This window comes from Homo sapiens, chromosome 15, assembly GCF_000001405.40.
Source record: "Homo sapiens chromosome 15, GRCh38.p14 Primary Assembly".
Lineage (NCBI taxonomy): Eukaryota > Metazoa > Chordata > Mammalia > Primates > Hominidae > Homo > Homo sapiens.
The window spans coordinates 85,329,825-85,353,363 of record NC_000015.10 but is presented as its reverse complement, the minus strand read 5'-3'; the positions used below and the strand labels follow the sequence as shown (position 1 = coordinate 85,353,363).

General features: G+C 44.7%; 6 annotated features.

Moving 5' to 3' along the window:
- Nucleotides 15,339-16,538: an enhancer, noted in NCBI's record as "CDK7 strongly-dependent group 2 enhancer chr15:85880057-85881256 (GRCh37/hg19 assembly coordinates)". NCBI's record gives its function as "activates an origin of replication core promoter dependent on BRD2, BRD4, P300/CBP, MED14 and CDK7 cofactors, with strong dependence on CDK7, by STARR-seq in HCT116 cells {active_cell/tissue: HCT116}" and the evidence as "EXISTENCE:reporter gene assay evidence [ECO:0000049][PMID:35650434]".
- Nucleotides 15,747-16,248: an enhancer, noted in NCBI's record as "H3K27ac hESC enhancer chr15:85880347-85880848 (GRCh37/hg19 assembly coordinates)". NCBI's record gives its function as "activates a minimal SCP1, AML or CMV promoter by ChIP-STARR-seq in primed H9 embryonic stem cells {active_cell/tissue: H9 hESC(primed)}" and the evidence as "EXISTENCE:reporter gene assay evidence [ECO:0000049][PMID:30033119]".
- Nucleotides 21,665-21,974: an enhancer, noted in NCBI's record as "active region_10010". NCBI's record gives its function as "activates an Ori minimal core promoter by ATAC-STARR-seq in GM12878 lymphoblastoid cells {active_cell/tissue: GM12878}" and the evidence as "EXISTENCE:reporter gene assay evidence [ECO:0000049][PMID:35858748]".
- Nucleotides 22,065-22,144: an enhancer, noted in NCBI's record as "active region_10009". NCBI's record gives its function as "activates an Ori minimal core promoter by ATAC-STARR-seq in GM12878 lymphoblastoid cells {active_cell/tissue: GM12878}" and the evidence as "EXISTENCE:reporter gene assay evidence [ECO:0000049][PMID:35858748]".
- Nucleotides 22,827-22,996: an enhancer, noted in NCBI's record as "experimental_42066 CRE fragment used in MPRA reporter constructs". NCBI's record gives its function as "activates a minimal promoter by MPRAs in K562 erythroleukemia cells, with activity observed for the introgressed 15:85873684 variant allele {active_cell/tissue: K562}" and the evidence as "EXISTENCE:reporter gene assay evidence [ECO:0000049][PMID:34662402]".
- Nucleotides 23,198-23,527: an enhancer, noted in NCBI's record as "active region_10008". NCBI's record gives its function as "activates an Ori minimal core promoter by ATAC-STARR-seq in GM12878 lymphoblastoid cells {active_cell/tissue: GM12878}" and the evidence as "EXISTENCE:reporter gene assay evidence [ECO:0000049][PMID:35858748]".

Sequence of the window (23,539 nt, the reverse complement as noted above, 5' to 3'; positions counted from 1 at the left end):
CTGTTGTCTAGGCTGGAGTGCAGTGGCATGATCTCAGCTAACTGCAACCTCCGCCTCCCGGGTTCAAGTGATCTCCTGCCTCAGCCTCCCGAGTAGCTGGGATTACAGGCAGCTGCCACCACGCCCAGCTAATTTTTGTATTTTTAGTAGAGACGGGGTTTTACCATGTTGGTCAGGCTGGTCTCGAACTCCTGACCTCAGGTGATCCACCTGCCTTGGCCTCCCAAAGTGCTGGGATTATAGGTGTAAGCCACTGCACCTGGCCAGAAATGTCTATTTTAAGTGAAAGTACAAAAACATATTTATCTAAATGACTGTTTCCCTCACCATAGACCCCTTGCAAATCTAGCCACGTGTCTTTGCTTTTTTTTTTTTTTTTTTTCCCTTGAGACGGAGACTTGCTCTGTCGCCCAGGTGGGAGTGCAGTGGCACGATCTCGGCTCACTGCAAACTCTGCCTCCTGAATTCAAGCGATTCTCCTGTCTCAGCCTCCTGAGTAGCTGGGATTACAGGTGCCTGCCACCACATCTGGCTAATTTTAGTTTTTTTAGTAGATACAGGGTTTCACCATGTTGGCCAGGCTGGTCTTGAACTCCTGACCTCAGGTGATCTGGCCACCTTGGCCTCCCAAAAGACTGGGGTTACAAGCGTAAGCCACCATGCCCAGCCTAGCCATCTCTCCTGAGATAATATTGTGGCTATTTGAAATAGTTTTGGTTCTCTACTTTTTATTTTTGCCGTCACAGAGAGTTGGTGATCCTTGTTTGAAGAGTGGTTTTGTTACTTTAAAACCCAAAACTATAGCAACAAATACTATTGCCCAATAAAATATCCACCTTATTTAACTTCTGGAAACAGTGTTGAACATGCATATCATTAGTTGGAAATCAGATATGTTAGGTAGCACACATTTTTTAATTTAAAAAGTAATAGTTACATAATTACTTTAAATGCATTAACTGTATATATATGACAAGCACGTTGAACCCATAATTTAATGCATATTGCTTACGGAAAAGCTATATTGCTTAACGAAAAACTTATTTAAGTAAAAATACAGTGAGTTAAATTGCTGAGAGATACTAAGCAGTAACCCAGGTTATGAGGATGAGATGAAGATTGTGAAGGGGGCATATAAATGACTAAGGTGTGAGAAACACCTGTGGAATGAAAGGAGCAGAGGCTCTGGGGCTCCAGTTATTTTACTTATTATCCGGGAGCCTGTGGGCAAGTGACTTACCTTCTCTGAGCCCTGCTTGCTGATCCATGCCATAAGAGTGAGTTGCAGTGGTGATCAGAGATAAGGTTCATGGGTACTCAGCACCGTACCTAAAGGGCTTCATAGTGAGAATTTTTTAAAAATTAGAACCACTCTTATAGGACAAGGATATTGAGTCTACATTTTAAAAGTTGCCACAGCTTGGCTAGGTACGGTGGCTCAAGCCTGTAATCCCAGCACTTTGGGAGGCCGAGGCGGGCGGATCACGAGGTCAGGAGTTCGAGACCATCCTAGCCAACATAGTGAAATCCTGTCTCTACTAAAAATACAAAAAAAAAAAAAAAAAATTAGCCAGGCGTGGTGGCATGCACTTGTAATCCCAGCTACTCAGCAGACTGAGGAAAGAGAATTGCTTTAACCCGGGAGGCAGAGGTTGCAGTGAGCAGAGATCAGACCACTGCACTCCAGCCCGGGTGACAGTACAAGACTCCATCTCAAAAAAAAAAAAAAAAAAAGGAAAGAAAAAAGTTGCCACAGTTTGAAAGGGAAAACCAGGGACATTTCATTAAGCATGATGAGCATAAGGTGGCAGCTGGATATTACATTCAAGGTATTCCTTTGAATGTATTCACTTGGGCATGTTTGTTAAGGGACCAATCACAGAATGAAGGAGTCAGATAGTTATACCTTATAGGATGCTAAAATAACTGGCGCTACCTTGAACTCTAAGAGTTTATCAACTCATAGACATTAAGCCATGAGATTCTGTCCCTTACTGACCTTTATAATCTCTCTCTCCCTCTCTCTCTCTCTATCTCTTTTCCTTGGTCAACTCAAAGCTTAAAACTAAATTCACAGCTCACTTCTAGAAATCTGTATCACCTTATCAACCACTTGCTCTTCCCCTTCACCTATACTCCTATGCTAAAGTGCACTTTCCTTGGTCCTGGTATTTTTTATTCTCACTTTGCCATTGTATTATACAGATTCCCATTAACATTTTTTTTTTTAATATAGAGACCTGTCTCACTATATTGGCCAGGCTGGTCCTGAACTCATGGGCTCAAGCAATCCTCTCCCCTTGGCCTCCCAAAGTGCTGGGATTATAGGCGTGAGCCACCGTGCCTGGCCCAGATTCCCATTTTGTATAGGTCCAATGCAAAAGGGAGAGTACCTAAATGTCTTAGTCAGCTCAGGCTGACATAACCAAACTGCTTAACAGTGCAAATTAATTTTCTCACAGTTCTGGAGGCTGGAACCCCAAGATCAGTGTGTCCATATGGTCAGATTCTGATGAGGGCTCTTTTCTCGGCTTGCAGATGGCTGCCTTCTTGCTTTGTCCTCACATGGCTTGGCAGTTGGAGGATGTCAAGTGTAAGCCCCCTACTGTCTCTTATAAAGGCACTAATCCCATCATGATCCCCCCACCGTCATGATCTCCCCACCGTCATGATCTCATCTCATCCTAATCACCTCCCAAAGGCCCCGTCTCCAAATACCATCACACTGGGGGTTGGAGTTTCAACATATGAATTTTGGAAGGCTACAACATACAGGCCATGACACTAAGTAAATAATCAGATAATAAGAGTCATGTCATCTTTTGCCAAGAGCCAGCAATTTATCATCTGTGTCCCACCAGAATTTCCAGACCATCCAAAGAAATGTCTTCTTTCTTGGATCAGTCATTGTAAAACTAGGCAAGTGTGCTAACAACAGGCCACAAATATTGGTTCTCACATGGAGCCACGTGTATATCCTTTATATCCCTAGTTGTTCATCAGCCATCACTGATTCACAAAAGATAAGCAAGATCTCCTGACATATCAATTTAGTGGGTTCTCTTCCTCACTCTAGTTGGTCACCCCAAGTGTATAAAATGAGAGCCTACAACGTGGCAGGCAAGTGTAGGATGTTATGACCTCATCTAATCTCACAATTCTGACAGAAATTATTGCACTGTGTTTTGGGGTGAGAAATTAAGTCTCAATAAGATTAAGTAATGTGCATAGCATTAAGCAACCTATAATTGAGGAGCTCAGATCTGAACCCGAGTCAGTCTGAATATAAAGGCCACGAGAGGACTTAGATGTATTACTCGCCAAATGTTCATTCACTCATTGAACTTCCTGACATGTGCCAGGCTTTATGTAGGCAATAGCAATGAATAAAATAGAACAACAACAACAACAACAACAACAACAACAACAAAATTCCAGGCCGGGCACGGTGGCTCATTCCTGAAATCCCAGCACTTTGGGAGGCCGAGGCAGGTGGATCACCTGAGGTCAGGAGTTCGAGACCACCCTGGCCAATATGGTGAAAGCCCGTCTCTACCAAAAATACAAAAATTAGCCGGGCGTGGCGGCAGGAGCCTCTAATCCCAGCTACTCAGGAGGCTGAGGCACGAGAATTGCTTGAACCTGGGAGGTAGAGGTTGCAGTGAGCCAAGATCATGCCACTGCACTCCAGCCTGGGTGACACAAAGAGTCTCTGCCTAAAAAAAAAAAAAATTCCTGCCCTTATGACTTACTTACAGGAGACAGATAATAAACAAAACAAGTAAGTAAAATAAGTAGCATATCATATAGTGATAAGTAAAAGAAAAAGCAGGGCAGTGGGGTGGGGTGCAATGGTTTGTGCCTGTAATCCCAGCAATTTGGGAAGCTGAGGCAAGAGAATTGTTCGAACCCAGGAGTTTGAAACAAGCCAGGGCAACATAGTGAGATGCCATCTCTACAAAAACATTTAAAAATTACCTGTGCATGGTGGTGCATGCCTGTAGTCCCAGCTACTCGGAAAGTTGAAGCAGGAAGATCACTTGAGCCCAGGAGTTCAAGGTTACAGTGAGCTATGATTGCACCACTGCATGCCAGCTGGGTGACAGAGTGAGACCCAGGATCAACACACACACACACACACATACACACACACACACACACAGAGCCAACAACCAAAAAAAAAAAAAAAACAAGGGACGGGGACTAGGCTGACTGGGCTGGAAGGAATCACAATTTAAAATACAGTCGTCAGGAAAGACCTTACTGAGAAAGAGATAGTTAAGCAAAGACATGGAAACAGTAAATTGTATCAGAATATCATTAACCCTGACGCTCCAAAGGTTCATGGGAGAGTGACGATTTTTGAAAAGTCATTGTGTCAGGACTCTTTTTGTTGTAAATGATAGGAAAATAGGCTCACCGTGACTTCAGCAAGAAGAGGGAATGTATTAGTTCAAGGAATTGAAAAGTCCAGGTCAGGCTGGAGTCAGGGGTCAAACGACGTCATTGGGACACGACCTAGTTCATTGTGCATTTCTGCTTTTTCTGTGGTGGTTTATTTTCTAGTTCCATGTGGAGGTAGAATGGCTATCAGCAACCCCAGGCCAACATCCTGCAGAGTTCAAACCTAGAATGGAAGAAAGAGTGCCTCTTTACCAGCAGGCCAAGCAAAAGACTCAGTGCATCTTATTGGGTCACAGGCTCATCTGGGCTCATCTGAACACTTGACTATGATCGGGAACATATGGCTCTGAACGGCTGGGCTCAGTCACCTGCCTAACCCTGGAGTCACAGGGAGAGTTAACATACTGACAGTAGTGGAAGGTGGGGCCCCGAGGAAATATGGGGTGTTGACTGCAGAGTAGAGAAAGCAGCAAGTATCCATGATATCACTGATCTAAAAATAATTTCTTTTATGATATTGCATAAATTGTTGATGCAGTTTGCTCCATGCCCAAAGGGTGGTTAATAACAGATTACAGATTTCTCCCTAAGAGACAATCTACGGACAGCGTAAGCTCCTTCAGTGGGAGTCCTGGATTGAGGTCCCCTGTCGCTACACAGGACATGTGAGCAGCGCATTCACAAGCTCTCAGAGCTTCAAGGGTGGCTGGATGTTTGGTTTTATACTGTGACCTCTTGTGCTTCCTCCGTGGGCTTTAGTGAGCCACATCACAAGTGCCTGACATCCCCAGTGTCAGAAGCTCAAGGCTTTTAGAGTCTTGTTCCACTTAGGCTGACCTGTTACCTATGGGGACTGACAACATTCTAGAGACATGGTCCTAAATTCTGAAAACCTAGTCCACTACTTGAGTAGAATCTTGGTGTTTTTCTAGGAAACTGCGTTTTCACGCTTTGATGTTAGACAGCCCTGGGGCTAGATTTTGACTATCACTTACCTGCTGGGGGACCCTGAACAAGTCATGTGACTGACTTCTTGAGTCTCAGGTTTCATATTTGCATAATGAGGTCATTAAAATGAGTAAATAAATGACCAAGTATAAAGAATCTAGTAACAGCCTGGCATACAGCGGGAGCTCAGAAAATTTGTTTCATTTTTTTCCACTTCCCTGCTCCCTTTTTCCATGAGGCCATTACCAGGCTTCCCTGGAGTCCATGTTATGCAACTTGCAGATAAACCTGTCAAATAAAAAGGAAAGGAATGAAAGGGATGGGTAAATGAACCCTGGGGCAGAGCTGGGGGATGTGTAGTTGAGTGGAAAATCATAGACTTCGGAATAAAACTGAATTTTAAATACAGGCCCCATCCCTTGTTAGATAGAAGGCCTTGGGAAAATTAGTTAATATTCCAGAGTCCCAATACCCACAATGAGAAAACAATTACTGCTGTTTACAGAGGCTGTGAGGGTTAGTTGAAATAATGTAACCTGGCACACAGTAGGCCTTCGATGAGTCCTAGTTCTCTTTGTTTGCAAAAGTAATTTAATCCTTGGGTGAAAGTGATTGACAATCAAGACACTTACACACAAAAATACCCAGAGAAAATTATTTTCCTGAAGGCTCAAACATCCAGACTTTTGCTTGTTCTCCTCCCTTTTTGCTTGTGCAATTTTTTCCCCTTATGTTGGAGGCTGGGAAATAAAAGTCAGTCAACAAAGCCGTACTGACAACCCGTCATGCCCGAAGAGAATACTATGTGTTATGGATGGGAAACCAAATCAGACATAATCCTTGTCCTTGAGAAGGTTTGACCTAATTGGGGGAAATAAAACATGCAAAAGAGGTTATTTAAAATGCTTATGAATAGCCTGCTGACCAAATGCCAAGGTAGACCATGAAGGAGTGACCAGGTTTGGATGTGAAAAGTCAGGAGGGTTTCTAAGGACAGAGATTAGCAGGGAGGAGAACCCCCAGCAGAAGCCTAGAGGTGGAATGAAAAACCTCCTGCCTGTGGGATGGTGACCTCATTGACTTATCTGCACACCAGGAAGGCATTGTGTAGAGGTCATGAGATAACAAGTCAAGAGGCTCTTGAGCAATCAAATGAGGTCAATCACAAGTCTATGTTATTACCTGTTACTAGTGCTGGTAACACAAACAAATCCAGTCTCCCAAATTGACTGGTTGGAAGAAGAGCTGAAACTTTCATCCACTATAAGGTGGGGACCATTCCTCTTATGACTTTTTTATGTAAATCTGAACTTCCTGGCAATTCTTACATAGAAGTAAAACTACACATCTCTGTGTAGTGTTGCACTGAACAAGACCTGAAACTCCATCAGGTGCCACATGTCAGTATAGTAATGGTGCCACCTCTTACTGGAGCTTAAATCACTGGATCTTCCCACCTCCACAATTAAGGGCAGAGGATGCTGGTCTACGCTCCCAAGCCCACCTTAGTGTCTGAATAAAACCCTCCTCCATGCTCCTCTCTACAGCTGGGTGTCATTGTGGCGTGATGGCTATGAGCTGGCTCTGTTTCTCACTGGCTGTGTGAAACTTAGCCAGCTAACTAGGAGGATGATAATACTAATGGTAATTCTTTCCTGCAATTGTAATTAATTGGGAGGTAATTAATTTAAAAGGCTTAGCATAGTGTCTGGCACACAGTAATCACTTACTAAATAGTACTTATTATCTTAAACTAGCTTGAAGTTTGGACACTATTTTTCTCTAGAGCAGAAAGGGCAGATTTATGTGACCCAGAATGGAGGGGAGCTCCATTCATTAGGAATGGATCTAAACCCAGAGGTGATTCTAGCATGGTAGAGTGGAGAATCTTCTACCTTTACTCTTTCAGCATATTGGAATATTTGAAGCACTCTTTGGTGGGAAGGTTAATGGAAAGACTCAGTGGAGTGTGTGTATGCTTTTTTTTTTTTTGAGTATGCAAAGTACAGTAACTTTTTCAGGGCATTGCTTAGAAATGGACATGTGTGTGTGTAAGTTATGCATAAATGAAAATATAAATAAATATATATATAGTTTTATATATATAAGTAAGTTTGTTAATTTTCAGTATGATGGATCTGATGCCGCTGAAGACAGAAAGACTCAGCACGGCTTTACCACAGACTAAATGTGTGATCTGGAGAAAGTTATTTAACCCCCAGCTCAGTTTCCTCAATTGTAAATTGTTATTATTATCAAACTCAGAGGCTTATCGTGAGGATTAAACGAGATACCAAATGAAGTGTGCCTGGCCCACAGATGTTAAATGAGAGTTTAATGGAGATATGGATTATTGTCATCAAAATCTTGGTTTCTTACCCACTCATTTACTCTCTGGGATAGTTTGGAAGAAATTATACATAAGAGACAGCCTGCTTGGGGAAGACTTGATGAGGAGGAGAACTGGTTGGGTGGACATATTTGATCCTTGATGCAACTCCAATATGTGTAATGGCAACCTAAACCTCCTTTAGACAGATGATGGTAGTCATGCAGCTTGTCATGGTAGGAGGTTTCAAAATAAATTTCCTCTGCAGCAGTGCTAGGTTGTTTGCTTAGGAGATTGTACTTCTGACCTAGATCCACCCTCTCTCTCTGGACCACAGCTGATAAAGAGAAACATCTGGATTCTCCAGGTTCACTGGTCTGGGAGGAGGAGAGGGTGGAGATCTGGGCTGAGAGTGAAGACACCTGGATTCTGGTCCCACTCACCACTTGCCCATGGGCACATCACTTCATCTCTGAGTCTCAACTTCCGTGGGTTCAAACTGATGTTCTCTACATTCTTTCCAAGTTCTAGTATCTCATTATTCTACGAATGTATAACTTACTTTCTAGCTGAAGAACATGATCATACTAGACAAAGGCAATGCCAAAATGAAATCGCCTCATTCCGTTATGCAATTTCTTTGGCTTTCTAAAAGGAGTAGGGCGGGATTCAGCCAGATGAATAATGATAAGCAAACATGTTTCTAAATCCAGGATGCAGAGTCTGGTCTTTAATAACTTGGAGGCAATGCCCTCTGCTCTCTCTAACACACCCACCCCAGCGGTCCAACACAGGGCTCCTGGTTGGGAGGAATTGCTCTTACTCTTTGGCGAGGTTATTCTATTGGATTTCAGAGCTGGTTTTCAAGTGTCTGTCATTCCAGAGAGACTCTCCTCGGTTCTCAGGCACCCAGCAGAGGCAGCTCACACCCTCTCTCCACATGTTACTGTGGATGAATGTGTCAGAGCAAGTTGAGTCATGGGAAAGGCATGAGCTCTCCTACCTGCTCCCCAGGCAGGTCCCTCCAGGGCTATTTTCTCTGGAACCAAGCTTAGTCACTTGCCAAACTCTCAAAACAGAGATGTCTCTAAAATTCCAGGACTGTTTGTTCCCAGGCAAAGTACCTTATTTGGTGGTAAACATAAAGTGGATAGAAAGTCTCTTCTGAGAAAAGCCACCCATTGAGTGATGAGAACTGGCCACCAAGAATATAACTGGGCACTTACTAGCACAAGCAAGTATAATTGCCATTGCTACATTTGTAAAGCCCTTGGCCATTGATGAAGCCCTTTTGCATGCTTTGCACCAACGTATTGGCCTCACCACAACTCTATGTAGTAGGTAGTATTATTTTTAAATTAATTAATTAATTATTATTATTTTTGAGATGAAGTCTTGCTCTGTTGCCCAGGCTGGAGTATAGTGGCATGATCTCAGCTCACTGCAACCTCCACCTCCTAGGTTCAAGCTATTCTCCTGCCTCAGCCTCCTGAGTAGCTGGGACTACAGGCACCAGCCACCACGCCCAGCTCATTTTTGTAATTTTTAGTAGAGATGGGGTTTCACCATGTTGCTCAGGCTGGTCTTGAACTCCTGACCTCAGGTGATCTGCCTGCCTTGGCCTCCCAAAGTGCTGGGATTACAGGCGTGAGTTACTGCACCCAGCCTTTTTTTTTTTTTCTTTTTGGAGAGACAGGGTCTCACTCTGTCACCCAGGCTGGAGTGCAGCAGTGCAATCATGGCTCATTGTAATGATAGGTATTATTAAACCTATTTTCCAATGAGGAAAGTGAAGTTTAGGAAGACTAATTTTTGCCCAAAGTCACACAACAGATAAAGAGTGAGTCTGGGACCTTAACTCAAGTCTTCTGACCCTGAATTCAGTGCTTTTACCATCAATACAACAGAACCAGGAAGTCCATTCAAATCTACATCCCCATATAAGCAGGAAGAACTCTGTGAATACTTCTTGGTCAATGATCTCGTGATTCATCAGCCCAGTTTTCTTGACAATATCATTTTTATAGCCGTTTAGTCATTTTCCTGACACAGTATGGCTCATGCGCAACAAAATTAATCAGATAAGATATTGGAGCTGCTCTTGAGAAGTTTACATTCCAGAGAAACAATTCAGATGGGAGAACAGCGTTTTATGATTTTGGTTTAAAGTCAGTGCAGAATAAGGGTTAAGAGACTAAAAAAAAAAACTTCCTATGGAAAAATTAGTTCACTAACGCAAGTTAAAATCATCAATACTTTTTTTTTTTTTTTTGAGACAGAGTCGTGCTTTGTCACCCGGGCTGGAGTGCAGTGGCACAATCTCGGCTCACTGCAAGCTCCGCCTCCCGGGTTCACACCATTCTCCTGCCTCAGGCTCCCGAGTAACTGGGACTACAGGCGCCCGCCACCACGCCCAGCTAATTTTTTGTATTTTTAGTAGAGACGGGGTTTCACCATGTTAGCCAGGAGGGTCTCGATCTCCTGACCTCGTGATCCGCCCGCCTCTGCCTCCCAAAGTGCTGGGATTACAAGCGTGAGCCACCGTGCCCGGCCAATACATTCTTTAATTCGCCAAGTATTTGCTAAGCATCTGTTATGTGTCAAGCTCTGTACTAGCAACTAAGAACCACTTAGTCCCGACTAGGTAACTTAACAGTTCTCAGGGGTAGGTAGAGATGTCAATACGTCATTGCAATGGAGTGTAATAAGGGCCCCAGGAAAGACACAAAGTTTTGTAGCACATAGAGGCAGAGAAGGCTTAACAGAAGAGGTAATTTTTTTTTGAGACAGGGTCTCACTGTGTTGCCCAGGCTGGAGTGCAGTGGTGCAATTATGGCTCACTGCAACTTCCACCTCACGGGTTCAAGCGATTCTCCCACCTCAGCCTCCTGAGTAGCTGGGACTACAGGTGCATGCCACACCTAGCTAATTTCTGTACTTTTAGTAAAGATGAGTTTTCACCATGTTGGCCAGGCTGGTCTCCAACTCCTGACCTCAAGTTATCCTCCCTCCTCAGCCTCCCAAAGTGCTGGGATTACAAGCATGAGCCACCACACCCAGCCTGAAGCAGTCATATTTTACCTGAAGTGTAAACAATTAATAAAAATTGCCAAATAAATAAAGGGTACATGATCATTTGAGAAAGTCGTCATCATCACCACCATCATCATCAGTACAACCACCGTCACTCTATAATTACCTCCTATGTGCCAGACAATCTACTAAGCCTTCTGTGTACATTAACTCATTTGATCCTCTCAGCAAACCACAAGGAGGTATTGTAATTGTCCCCGATTTTTCAGATGAGGAAAATGACGAGAGAGATTAAGTGGCTTACCCAAAGTCACCCAGAGTCAGGATATGAAATTGTGCCATCTGGTTCCAGAGATCATATGGTTGATAATGGAAGGAACAACCAGTACAAAGATGAGAACGTATGCATGGGTGTTTATGTGAAGGATTGAGATTATTTCAGTGCGGCTGGAACATGGTATATAAATGTGTCTACCTCAGTGGCTCTCCCAATCTCTGTGCCTCTTCTCCTGCTTTCTCATCATTCTCTCTATGCAGTACTATTTTAAATACATAGCTTGAGCTTTTGAACCACACTACAGATGCAGACTTGGGCTCCAAATCTGAAAAAATGCTAGCCCATGGTTATAACCTCTTAGAGATCAGTGTTTTTTCTTTTCTTTCTTTTTTTTTTTTTTTTTGAGACGGAGTCTCGCTCTGTCGCCCAGGCTGGAGTGCAATGGCACGATCTCTGCTCACTGCAAGCTCCGCCTCCCGGGTTCACGCCATTCTGCTGCCTCGGCCTCCCGAGTAGCTGGAACTACAGGCGTGCGCCACCTTGCCTGGCTAATTTTTTGTATTTTTAGTAGAGACGGAGTTTCACCGTGTTCGCCAGGATGGTCTCGATCTCCTGACCTCGTGATCCGCCCGCCTCAGCCTCCCATAGTGCTGGGATTACAGGCGTGAGCCACTGTGCCTGGCCTTTTTTCTTTTCTTTCTCCCTGACTCTGATTGGTGCCAAGACCTCACTTTCCATCACCCCATGGGGTGTTGTGGGAGGGGCCAGTTTACTTCTGCTTCACACGGACTTGAGGAGGTGACTGTGGAATTCCTGGTAATCCCTAGCCTTGACTTCTGTGTTCTTGCTTCCAGAGTCCATCAGAACCACAGCTCAGTTTTGCAGCTTGGAGAATTCAGATGGACAAATGCCTTCACAGGAAAGGTGGCTTTGATGTTCCACTTATTTCTCTGGGTTCTTGCTTTCTCTTAGACTTGAGGCTGGAATTTCTTACCATCCTGTCAGCAATTTGATGCTTTTACAAATATGAAAAGAGAATTATCCAGCATGCTTAGTTATTTTCAGCAGGAGAGTTGGTCTAAATTACTAGTCCTTCAACTACAGGAAACTCAAAGTCCCAAGACTCATCCAACTTTCACAACAACCCTATGATGTAGATACAATTAACTTGATTTTTCCAATGAGGCAAATGTGATTCAGGGAATTTAAATAACTTGCAAAAGGTCACACAGTTAATAGATGATAGGGCCAAGCTTCCAACCCAAATTTCTCTGACTTTAATTTCCACATCTCTCCCACCATATTCCCAGGTTCACCACTCACTAGCTGTGTGGCCTTGGGGAAGTCACTTAACCTCTCTGTGTTTAAATTTTCTCATTTACAAAATGAAGGTAATAAAAGAATCAACATCAAAAAACTGTGCCAGTGAAATCAATTAGTGCATGTATAGCATTTATAACTGCCTTGCACATAAAAAGAACAAATATTTGCAGTTTCTAACATTATTATTATAGTTCTCTAGGGAAATCCAACTTGTCTACAAGCTGGAAGTTTATGACCTATGATCTATTTAGAGAATACTTGCCAGTCTCAATCTCTATCTCTCTGTCACACACACACACACACACACACAGAGAGGCACACACACATACACACACAAATTCTCTGTCTCTCATTCATTCATTCATTCACCCTTTATGGGCAGCCTTCAGTGTGTAAGGCCTTCTACACAGAGTACATTTACGTCTTGCAGAGCTTTGTGCCAAGGCCATGGGTTTCTTCCCACTCTGGAGTCTTGTTTTCCAAAGGGAGGAGGAACTTCCCTTCTGGTCTGTAGGATAAGAGAGGAGGCCTGTCTGAGTAAATAAATATTTTGGAGTTACAGTATGTGATGATGTCCTTTCCTGTTTTCTTCTCCTGTTTCTGTAGCCTCCTGGTACACAGTGGATAAACAGGGAGTTACTCTTGTGGAGGCTCTGCCACCAGGCCCTCACCTCCCCCAGATGACAGGAGTCCTAAAGCCTTAGTTAGTTGCATCTCTTTCTTTTTCCAAGTGTCAGCTACCTCTTTAGAGACTGCCAGACCCTCTCTGAAGATGACAGGCCAAACTCAGAGGAGCCAGAGAGTCATTCATCAGATGAAGAGGTGACTAGCCACAAATATCCATCAATTACTTGCCATGTGCAAGGAATGCTATGTTGATGTTGTGGAGGACGGGAAGGTTATCATGACACAGCTTTGTGATGAGGTAAGGAGCACAACAGCTCATAAATAATTTTCATTTAACAACAGAAGATTGTCATAAGGCAGTATTTAGGTACAAAGTGAATGAAATAGCTGTCGATGCAGTACAAGGGATTCAGAGGGGAAAGAGGGAAGTGTGTGTGTGTGTGTGTGTGTGTGTGTGTGTGTGTGTCTGTGTGTGTGTGTGTGGTGGAGTGTGAGTGTGTTTTGTGATTGGTGTCAGGGTCCCACTTGGGAGGCAAGTTGAGTGAGAACACCATCCATGGGATAGGGTGTGGGAAAATAGTGGGGTTTAGGGTCCAGGAAATACGGGGAAGGACTACAGGCAATATGTCTAGTTAGAGTACAAAGATTCTAGGTGTGAGCCATGGTCACAGTAGGTATTTAATCTGAAGGGTGGTTCAAGGCAACGCATATGAAATCAAGCGATGTCCACCTTGATCTTGTTCCTTTAAACCAGCTGGCCTATCCACGCACCACACATTTATTGGTAAGGCTAGTCCTGGATGCATTAATACCTTTTCTTTTTGAGACAGGATCTCACTTTGTAGCATAGGCTACAGTGCAGTGGCATGAACATGGCTCTTTGTAGCCTTGACCTCCTGGGGTCAGGTGATCCTCCTGTAGCTGGGACGATAGGCATGCACCACCACACCCAGCTAGTTTTGTATTTTTAGTAGAGACAAGGTTTCACCATGTTGCCCAGGTCAGTCTTGAATTCCTCGGCTCAAGTGATCGGCCCGCTTTGGCCTCCCAAAGTGCTGGGATTACAGGCGTGAGCCATGCCCAGTCCATCAACACCTTTCTAGTAATAATCTAGAATCCTTCACTCTTGCCCTTGAGAATAGGAAAGTGAAAGGCTTCCTAACTCAGAGACTTATTAGACGGTGAAAGTGGAAGAGTTAGCTTCTGGTCATTCAAAATAAACTGAACCTAACCTCTCTTGTTCCAGCCTCTGAATCCCAGGTTTCATAAAGCTTGTTTCTGTTCTTATACTACTTCCTGTGGATCCTTATTCCTGTAGATGTAATCTTGGGCCTGGATGAAATGAAGCATAAAGAAGGAGTCAAAGACAGTGATTAAGAACTAGGCGGGATGTGGTGGCTCACACCTGTAATCCCAGCACTTTGGGAGGCCGAGGCGGGTGGATCACAAGGTCAGGAGATCGAGACCATCCTGGCTAACACGGTGAAACCCTGTCTCTACTAAAAATACAAAATATTAGCCGGGCATTATGGCTGGCACCTGTAGCCCTAGGTACTCGGGAGGCTGAGGCAGGAGAATGGCGTGAACTCAGAAGGCGGAGCTTGCAGTGAGCCGAGATTGTGCCACTGCACTCCAGCCCGGACGACAGAGCCAGACTCCATCTCAAAAAAAAAAAAAAAAAAAGACAGTGATGAAGAACTAAGACCAAGAAAAAGGCTCATCCTAAGACCAAGAAAAAGGCTCATCCTGTATGATTCCCGGTAGGCACTGCAGAGGTGGGCATGGCTTTTTTTTTTTTTTTTTTTTTGAGAGGGAGTTTTCGCTCTTGTTGCCCAGGCTGGAGTGCAATGGCACGATCTTGGCTCACTGCAACGTGGCATTTTTAAAGTGTTGACCAGGGTGGACCATTCTGGAGTGTCAATGGCATAAAATAGTATTAGTATGTTTATTGTTTGTAAATGTTATCAAGATGTGATTCAATTGAAATCTTTTTTTTTTTTTTTTTTTTTTTTTGACAGAGTCTTACTCTGTCACCCAGGCTAGAGTGCAGTGGTGCCATTTCAGCCTCCCAAGTAGCTGGGACTACAGGCCTGCACCACCATGCCTGGCTAATTTTTGTATTTTCAGTAGAGATGGGGTTTCACCATGTTGGCCAGGCTGGTCTCAAACTCCTGACTTCAAGTGACCTGCCATCCTTGGCCTTCCCAAAGTGCTGAGATTACAGGTGTGAGCCACTGTGCCCAGCTTGAAATCTTTAATACTAATAATTCCATTATTCTGTTTGATGTTTGCATACCAGTTGGTGTAAAACACAAAGGTAGCTGCAGATCCAGTTGCTCAGTAGTTCTTAACCTTAATGCCACCAGCTGAGTGGTTGTGAGGTGTTTTCAAGGTACTTCTTTCTTGTGTTGCTTTGAGAGAAAGGATAAGGGAATGAAAATAGCAGAATGAGCAATGGAAAAAGGAGGGAGCGGGGTTTTAACCTTGGCCCCCAAGAGGCAGCAAAGGAAAAACAACACAAAGAGAATGAGAAATCCAGACAGTCATTGAAAGGAGAGGGAAACGCCTCAGGAAATGCAAGAGAAAGCAAAGGCTGTGGGGTAGGAAATAGATAGAGACTGAGAGTCCTAAGCATGAGCACTAAAGGGACTGGGGTAGTCTCAGTTGGAGACGGCAGCATTTTCCAGAAAGATTAAAGCCCATTATTACCTTTAGAAACAAAAAGGATGTTGGAAGCAGAGAGCACAGTGGTGTGACTGCCCTGCCGTGGTTCATGAGCTAGATGCCAGCCGAGGTAACATCCCCGGAGCAGGAGCTGAGAAGGGAAACATCCTCCACGTGGACAGACACATGCTGCAGAGCCTGGAAATCATCCCAGTGCAGATCCCTTTTTAAAAGCCCACAAAACAGTGCCTGGAGGTACATTTCCAGCAACTGACTAGGGGTTCAGGGTTGCAGCCGAGCTGAGCTGGGAGTCTCGATAGATTCAAATGGACCAAGCCTTTGACCAAAAGGAGAAGAGAATGCACATTTGTTGAGCACAATAATGCTGTGAAGAGGATGCTCTTACCTCCATTTTGCAGGTGAGCAAAGAGATGGAGTATACAGTGACAATACATTATTCATCCCTGCTCAAGGTCACACGTGAGAAAGTGTGAAGCTGGGATTCAAACCCCAGCCTTTCTGTCCTCAAGCCTCACCACTTACGTCATGCTGGGCATCGTTTCATTTTTTGAAATCTCACCTAGTGCCAACTTCTTTATATACTTTCTCTGAGCTATAACAGGATCCAGCCATGAGCTTAAGTGTCAGCATGTCAGCATTTCAAAAACCTGCCACTTCCACATGACCCTAACACCTAGAGCTATAATTGGGTAGGATCTCAGGGCCCAGGCATCTCTTTCCTTTTCTGATGATTTCATGGGGTGTGGGGGCAGGGAGCCCTGAGCGGATAGAGTCCAGATTAGGAAATATTTCCTTAACTGGCCCTAAGGCGTGTGCTCATATATTTCTTTCCTTATATTCATAGACTTATTTAAGAAATATAGACCCCAGAAGATGAACACACTCAATAGATTTTCCTTCTATTATTTGGAGGAATGATGTGATACAATTGATTTCTATCTTTGTTAAAACATTTAATTACATCTTTCATCTTAAATTATTTGAAAATAGAAGCATTTTTAATAAAAATGGCTGTATAGGGGAAAGTAACTAATATTCACTGTGAGCCTGTTTGTATCAGGTGCTTTAATCTAGATGATTTCCTTTACTTCTAGGGGGAAGGTATTACTATGGCCACTTCATAGAGAACGAAACTGAGGTTCAGAGACATTACCAAAATAGTAGGTGGTCAGAGCTGGGATTTGAACCCAAGGACACTTGAATCTTGACTAGGCAACATGTCAGGCTTTAAGAAGGAAGTCTTGGGATTAAAATAGAAAAAACATTTAAGGAGCTTAGGACAATATCTGGGACATAGTAAGCTTTAAATAAATGTTAAGTATCGCTACTGGTGTTATTATTATTGAAAGATGATCTGTAAGACCACCTTAAAATTTTTAAAAAAAATTTTGAGACAGGGTTTGGCTCTGTCATCCAGGCTGAAGTGCAGTGGTGCAATTGCAGCTCACTGCAGCCTCGACCTCCTGGGCTCAAGCGATCCTCCCACCTCAGCCTTCTGAGTAGCTGGGACTACAGAAGCATGTCGCCATGCCCGGCTAATTTTTTAAAAATGTTTTGTAGGGATGAGGTCTCGTTATGTTGCCCAGGCTGGTCTTGAACTCTTGGGCTGAAGTGATCCTCCTGCCTCTGCCTCCCAAAGTGCTAGGATTATAGGTGTATAACCACACCCAACCAAAGACCACATTTTAAAGAGAATCTCTGATGTATTAATTTTCAACCACATCTGGCAGACGAATGAATACCTGGAGATATGACAGTGATCATTATTCTGATGGCAACACTGGCAGGTTACATTTACACAGTGATTTGGGCTTTGCAGTCTTTCCATGGTATCCCCATTCCTAGGGAAAACGGACCATCCTACAGGATTCCAGGAGGCTATTGACTTGTCTTTTGATAGTCAACAGCTGGAAGGAAATACAGAGGGATTGTATGAGTTCTGAGTGCTGGCGGCAGTTGTAAAAATGCAAGCTCAGGCCTTCCTTGTAATTAGCAGAAAACAGTCAAAGGTCAGAGATAAGAAACAGAAGGGCTGAGTCCGTTGTGGGAAGCTCGTCTGGAACCCTCTCTGCTAAAGCATTCCCGAGGTTGGTGGAGAGGATCAGGGTGAGCTTCTTACTGACGACCTGTCTAAAAGATCAGAGGAACGGCTGATATTTAAGGAATTTTTATCTCCATTTTCCCCCTTGAAATTTGCTTCATGTGGGCTACTAGTTTGCTATTTCATTTTTCCGGTGTTTAGAAAAATAAGTTACATTTTGGCGACTATTTCCTTGCTCTGGCCCTTGCTCTTGGCCATGCTGTTTACCTTTCCTGCCTGAGCACCTCCTGCTGGCTCCTCAGGGCTTACTCAAGAATCTTTTTTTTTTTCCAGTGGCACAATCTCGGCTCACTGCAACCTCTGCCTCCCAGGTTCAAGCAATTCTCCCGCCTCAGCCTCCTGAGTAGCTGGGATTACAGGCATGCGCCACCACACCCCACTTTTTTTTTTTTTGAGATGAAGTCTCAGTCTGTCGCCCAGGCTGGAGTGCAGTGGCTCAATCTTGACTCACTGCAAGCTCCACCTCCCTGGTTCATGCCATTCTCCTTCCTCAGCCTCCCGAGTAGCTGGCACTACAGGTGCCCGCCACCATGCCTGGCTAATTTTTTGTATTTTTAGTAGAGGCAGGGTTTCACCGTGTTAGCCAGGATGGTCTCGATCTCCTGACCTCGTGATCTGCCCAGCTCGGCCTCCCAAAATGCTGGGATTACAGGTGTGAGCCACCACGCCCGGCCCCGCACCTGGCTTATTTTTGTATTTTTAGTAGAGAGGGGGTTTCACCATGTTGATCAGGCTGATCTCGAACCCCTGACCTTGTGACCCACCTGCCTTGGCCTCCCAAAGTGCTAGAGATTACAGGCATGAGCCACCGTGCCCGGCCTCAAGCATCTTAAGCCTCCCTGAACTGCTTGCTTCTCCTCCTCTCTCTCCCCAGTCTAGGCTAAGTACCCCCTCTCAAGGAGATCCCGGGCATGCTTCTCTACCTATATCATAGCCCATATTACTTTGAAGTGATGTCTCTTTCTGCCTTGAAAATATTTGGTAAGTGTCTGAATCTGCTTTTGGAGAGGAGCACCTGGGCCTTATATCCTTCATCAACAGAGCAACTGGTATGCAGTAAGTGCTCAAGAAAGAGCAGTCCAGTGGAAATGTCTCCAAAACAGAGTGAACCCATCTCTCAGTCCACCATGCAGGCGATAGTCAGAATCACATGACTAAAAACAACCTACGTCCAGTTTTATTTATTTATTTATTTATTTATTTATTTATTTATTTTAGAGTTCTCTAATTGCCAAATCTTATTTTGAGGGATAAAAAGCCAAAAAGGTGAGTCTGAAAATCTAGGTATAAATATAGATAAGCCAGGTGCGGTGGCTGACACTTGTAATCCCAGCACTTTGGGACGCCAAGGCGGGCAGATCACAAGGTCAGGAGTTCGAGACCAGCCTGGCCAATATGGTGAAACCCCGTCTCTACTAAAAAAACTACAAAAATTAACTGGGCGTGGGGGGTGCCTGTACTCCCAGCTACTAGGGAGGCTGAGGCAGGAGAATTGCTAGAACCCGGGAGGTGGAGTTTGCAGTGAGAAGAGATTGTGCCACTGCACTCCAGCCTGGGCAATAGAGCAAGATTCTGACTCAAAAAATATAGATAGATAGATAGATAGATAGATAGATAGATAGATAGATAGATAGATAATGACAAAATGACCACAGATGACAAGGATGAAAGTTTGGGTGATGGATTTTCTCTTTCCCAGAGATAGACTTTCTTGGACCTGCCTAATGTTGTCACTATTCATTTAATGTCCCTTTAGGTCAACAGCCAGAAACGGAGACAAATGCTGGCTTCCGTAGCAGCAGGCTGCCTCTAGCAGGTCTTTTTCCAGTTCTAAGCTGGGATCCAAGCCTGTTGTGGGCTACAGTATGCAGGATTTGCACTTCCCTGGCACATGGATGAGACACTGTGATCCCATTGGTAGCTGAAATTCCATGTTTATGCAGAAGAACATCTGTAGATTTTGTCTCTGGTACAGCCCAGTTACAGTCAGACTCGGTATTTAAAGAATGAAGCAAAGCAACCACAGAAAGAGATAAAATGGCAAGAACTCTCCGTCTGGAGTCTTTGTAGTTGTTTCAAATATGAACAGACAGGAAAAGAAAATAGGAAGATAGAGGGTGGGAGTGGGAAGAGAGATATGAGCATTTATCTACCAAAGCTGGCATATGATCAGTCCTGTGTCAGCTTTGGGGTAGAGAGAACCTAGACGATTTAGATCCAGATAGATGTGGGCTCCTGGCTCTGGCATGTGCATGATGATGCTGGTACAAGGTTATTCACTGCAACATTGTTTATAGTAGCAAAAGACGGGAAACAACCCTATGTCCACCAACAGAAGACTGCTCCATTAAATTACGGTATGTCCATGCAATGGAATATTGTGCAGCTGCAAAATGAAAAGAATGAGGAAGCTCTTTATGTGCTGGTAATGAAAAGATCTCAAGATATTTTGTTGATCTCAAGCTCTTTATGTGCTGAAAGAAAAAAAAGCAAGGCATGGAACGGTATGCACGGTATGCCATGTTTTGTGTAAAAATGGAGAAAAATAAGACTTTGTACTCTATTAACTGGAATATGCATAAAGAAATGCTAAAAGTGGCCGGGCGCGGTGGCTCATGCCTGTAATCCCAGCACTTTGGGAGGCCGAGGCGGGCGGATCACGACGTCGGGAGATCGAGACCATCCTGGCTAACACGGTGAAACCCCGTCTCTACTAAAAGTACAAAAAATTAGCCAGGCGTGGTGGCACGTGCCTGTAGTCCCAGCTACTTGGGAGGCTGAGGCAGAAGAATGGCGTGAACCCAGGAGGTGGAGCTTGCAGTGAGCTGAGATAGTGCCACTACTCTCCAGCCTGGGCGACAGAGAGAGACTCTGTCTCAAACAAACAAACAAAAAAGAAATCCTAAAAGTATACAAGGAACAAATGGTGGTTACCTGTGTTTGTGGCAAGGAGACAGATGGGGGAAACTGACAATCCGGGGGTCAGCAGACAGGAGACTTTGTATTGTATACCTTTCTACAGTTTTGATTTTTTTTTTTTTTTGAGCCAGAGTCATGCTCTGTCACCCAGGCTGGAATGCAGTGGCATGATCTTGGTTCACTGCAACCTCTACCTCCTGGGCTCAAAAGATTCTCCTACCTCAGCCTCCCCAGTAGCTGGGATTATAGGCACATGCCACCACGCCGGGCTGATTTTTGTATTTTTAATGGAGATGGGGTTTCACCATGTCGGTCACGCTGGTCTCAAACTCCTGACCTCAGGTGATCTGCCCACCTTGGCCTGCCAAAGTGCTGGGATTACAGGCATGAGCCCCCGCGCCTGGCCCCCTTTCTACGGTTTTGATTTTTGAATCATATGACTATATTACCTGATTACAAGCCAAATCAAACAAACAAGCATCATAGCTCTGTCATTGTTACCAGCTGACCCTGGCAAGTTACTTAACCTCTTCCAGTCCTACTTTCCACATTAGAGAAATGGGGATATTTATATTTGCCCCACCGGGCTGTGAGGTCACTGAACATCACTAACAATGGAACGTAGAAAGCACTAAACACAGAGCGGGGCGGGGTAGGGGGAATGGGTGCTCCCAAAGGGTGGGTCATACCCCTTCCCTATAGCAATGCCAGCATCTCTCAGGTGTTGTGTGTGATTGTCATGTGTTGGCTCACATTTCTCAAGAAGCACTTCAGGAGCCACTTTCTGCTGCTTGCCTTGTTGTGAATCTGTCCGAGTCCTCACCCCAGTTAAAAATGTCCAGTGACCTTAAGAGTTCAAGCACCTCTGAACACTCCTCTGGTAGGTGGGGCAAGCCTCTAGAAACTTCTGCTTCACTTTTCTGCTTGATTGATTTCTCCCCACTCAGCTCCCCCTGCAGAGTCAACTCCCACTCACCCTCCCGGGGAGCAGTCCCCGCCTCAGGTACCTCACTGTGACAGAAGCCGGCTCACTGAACACTGAACATTTGGACAGTATTTGGGTCCATTCTGTCTCCATCTCGCTCGATTGCCCTCTCTCTGAATCGGTTCTCTGGGCTTCAGAATCCTAGTGAAGTCAGAGGACAGTTGCCTCTCATCAGAGAACCAAAACCTTCTGCCCCCAGGCAGTGTCCCTTAGGAGGCCACTTGGCACATCCAGCTCTCCCTTGGTAACTTAGAGGCCCCGGGGTGCTCTAACTTCCAGGCTGGCATGTGATCTCCTGCAGGCCTGTGTAGAGAGCCCTCAGCGGGGCGGGAGGATGTGAGGAAAGAACAGAGTGTTCCAGGCAGAACAAAGCCAGCTGCAAATTTGCTCAGGCCCTTTCGTTTCTTCCTTGAAGGGACCAAGTGCAGCCTCTAGCGGCTGCTTCCGGACATGGTCATGGGAGTCAGACCTGTGGGACTTGTGGGACTTGTTCACCTTAAACTGGGCCACAGCTCCGGAGCCTGAGGAGGCAGCAGGACTTGCTGACATGGTTCTTTGAAAACCTTCACCAGGCAGAGTTGTGGTCTGTTCCGCAGGCCAGTGCATGAGTCAGACTGAACCTGTACCCCACGCAGCTCAGGTCCAGGGTTCAGGACCAGGCTGATTTCTGCAGTGAGCTCAGCTTCCTAACCCACAAGGGCGTGCAGAACTCCCCCTTGCTCCTTCCTGTAGCTGCGCCCTCGGCCCTACCCTCCTCCCCAGCAGATCTGTTCCCCACCTCGATTGTCATGGGCTGTCTGCAGCGATGGCAGGGGTTTGCAGCTGTTAGTGGCTGCTTTCCTTGAAGTTCTTCTTTGCACAGATCCTGAGACTTGATATTTGTTGAATGAACAACATCAATCCAATTTGAGTAGGTTGAAAGCAGACCTGAAGTTGAACCGGACCCATTCGCCTTAACTTATTTTCTAGGTTATTTAAAAACGTATATCAACTCCTCTTACAAATTTTGGTATTGTGGAATGCTATGTTGGAAATACTAATCAAATAGATCTCTCTTCTTTCATGGAACACCAGTATAAATTCTCTGTTCCCTAATGAAAACAAACAAACCCCCCAAACAAAAGCACCAAACACTTGAGCTCTCATAGGGTACATGAAACTATTTCAGGGGTTAGGCACGGCATTTCCTCTAACTCAAGGTGAATCCCTTTAGGGCACTCAAAGGGCTGCAGCACAGCATTTACTTTTTTCCACATATTCCTTCAAATTTCTGTTTTCTGTATTACCAGCTACCATCCACAGAGAGTCATAAATCCCCTGGAGGAGTCGTATGTGATCCCACGTGATTAACTTTGCATCTGTTTTGCAGCTGTTCACTCTGCAGTTTTATTTTGCCTTTTGGAAACCTCAGAGCAGTGCTTCTCAAATGTTAACGTGCATACGATGAATCACGTGGGCATCTTGTTAAAATGCAGAGTTTTGAGTCGAGGGTCTGGGGAGGGCTGAGATTGTGCACTTCTAAGGAGATGCCAGGTGGTGCTAATTCTGCTGCACTGGACACCACACTTAGAGTGGCGAGGTCACTAAATAATAGGAGCAAAAGGATCGTGAGAACACCGACATCAGTGAGAAGGAGGCTGGCTGCAGAGACCATGGTAGGAGGAGTTTTCCTTGGTGATTCTGCTCTTCTCTCCGCGCCCTTTCACTTTCCCTTTCCTTGTAAATATCCTTTACTGTGGTCTTTCTTTGATTAAAGAGAAACTGTGTGAGCAGAGCCAAAGGCCACGTTCATCTATGGGTAGCATCTATGCTTCTTCAGGTCGTCTGGGCTGGAAGAAAACAAAAAAGTTCTGCAGCCAGAGATAACTGAAACCAGTGAGACTTCTGCAGCTCGTGTGTGCGCACCCA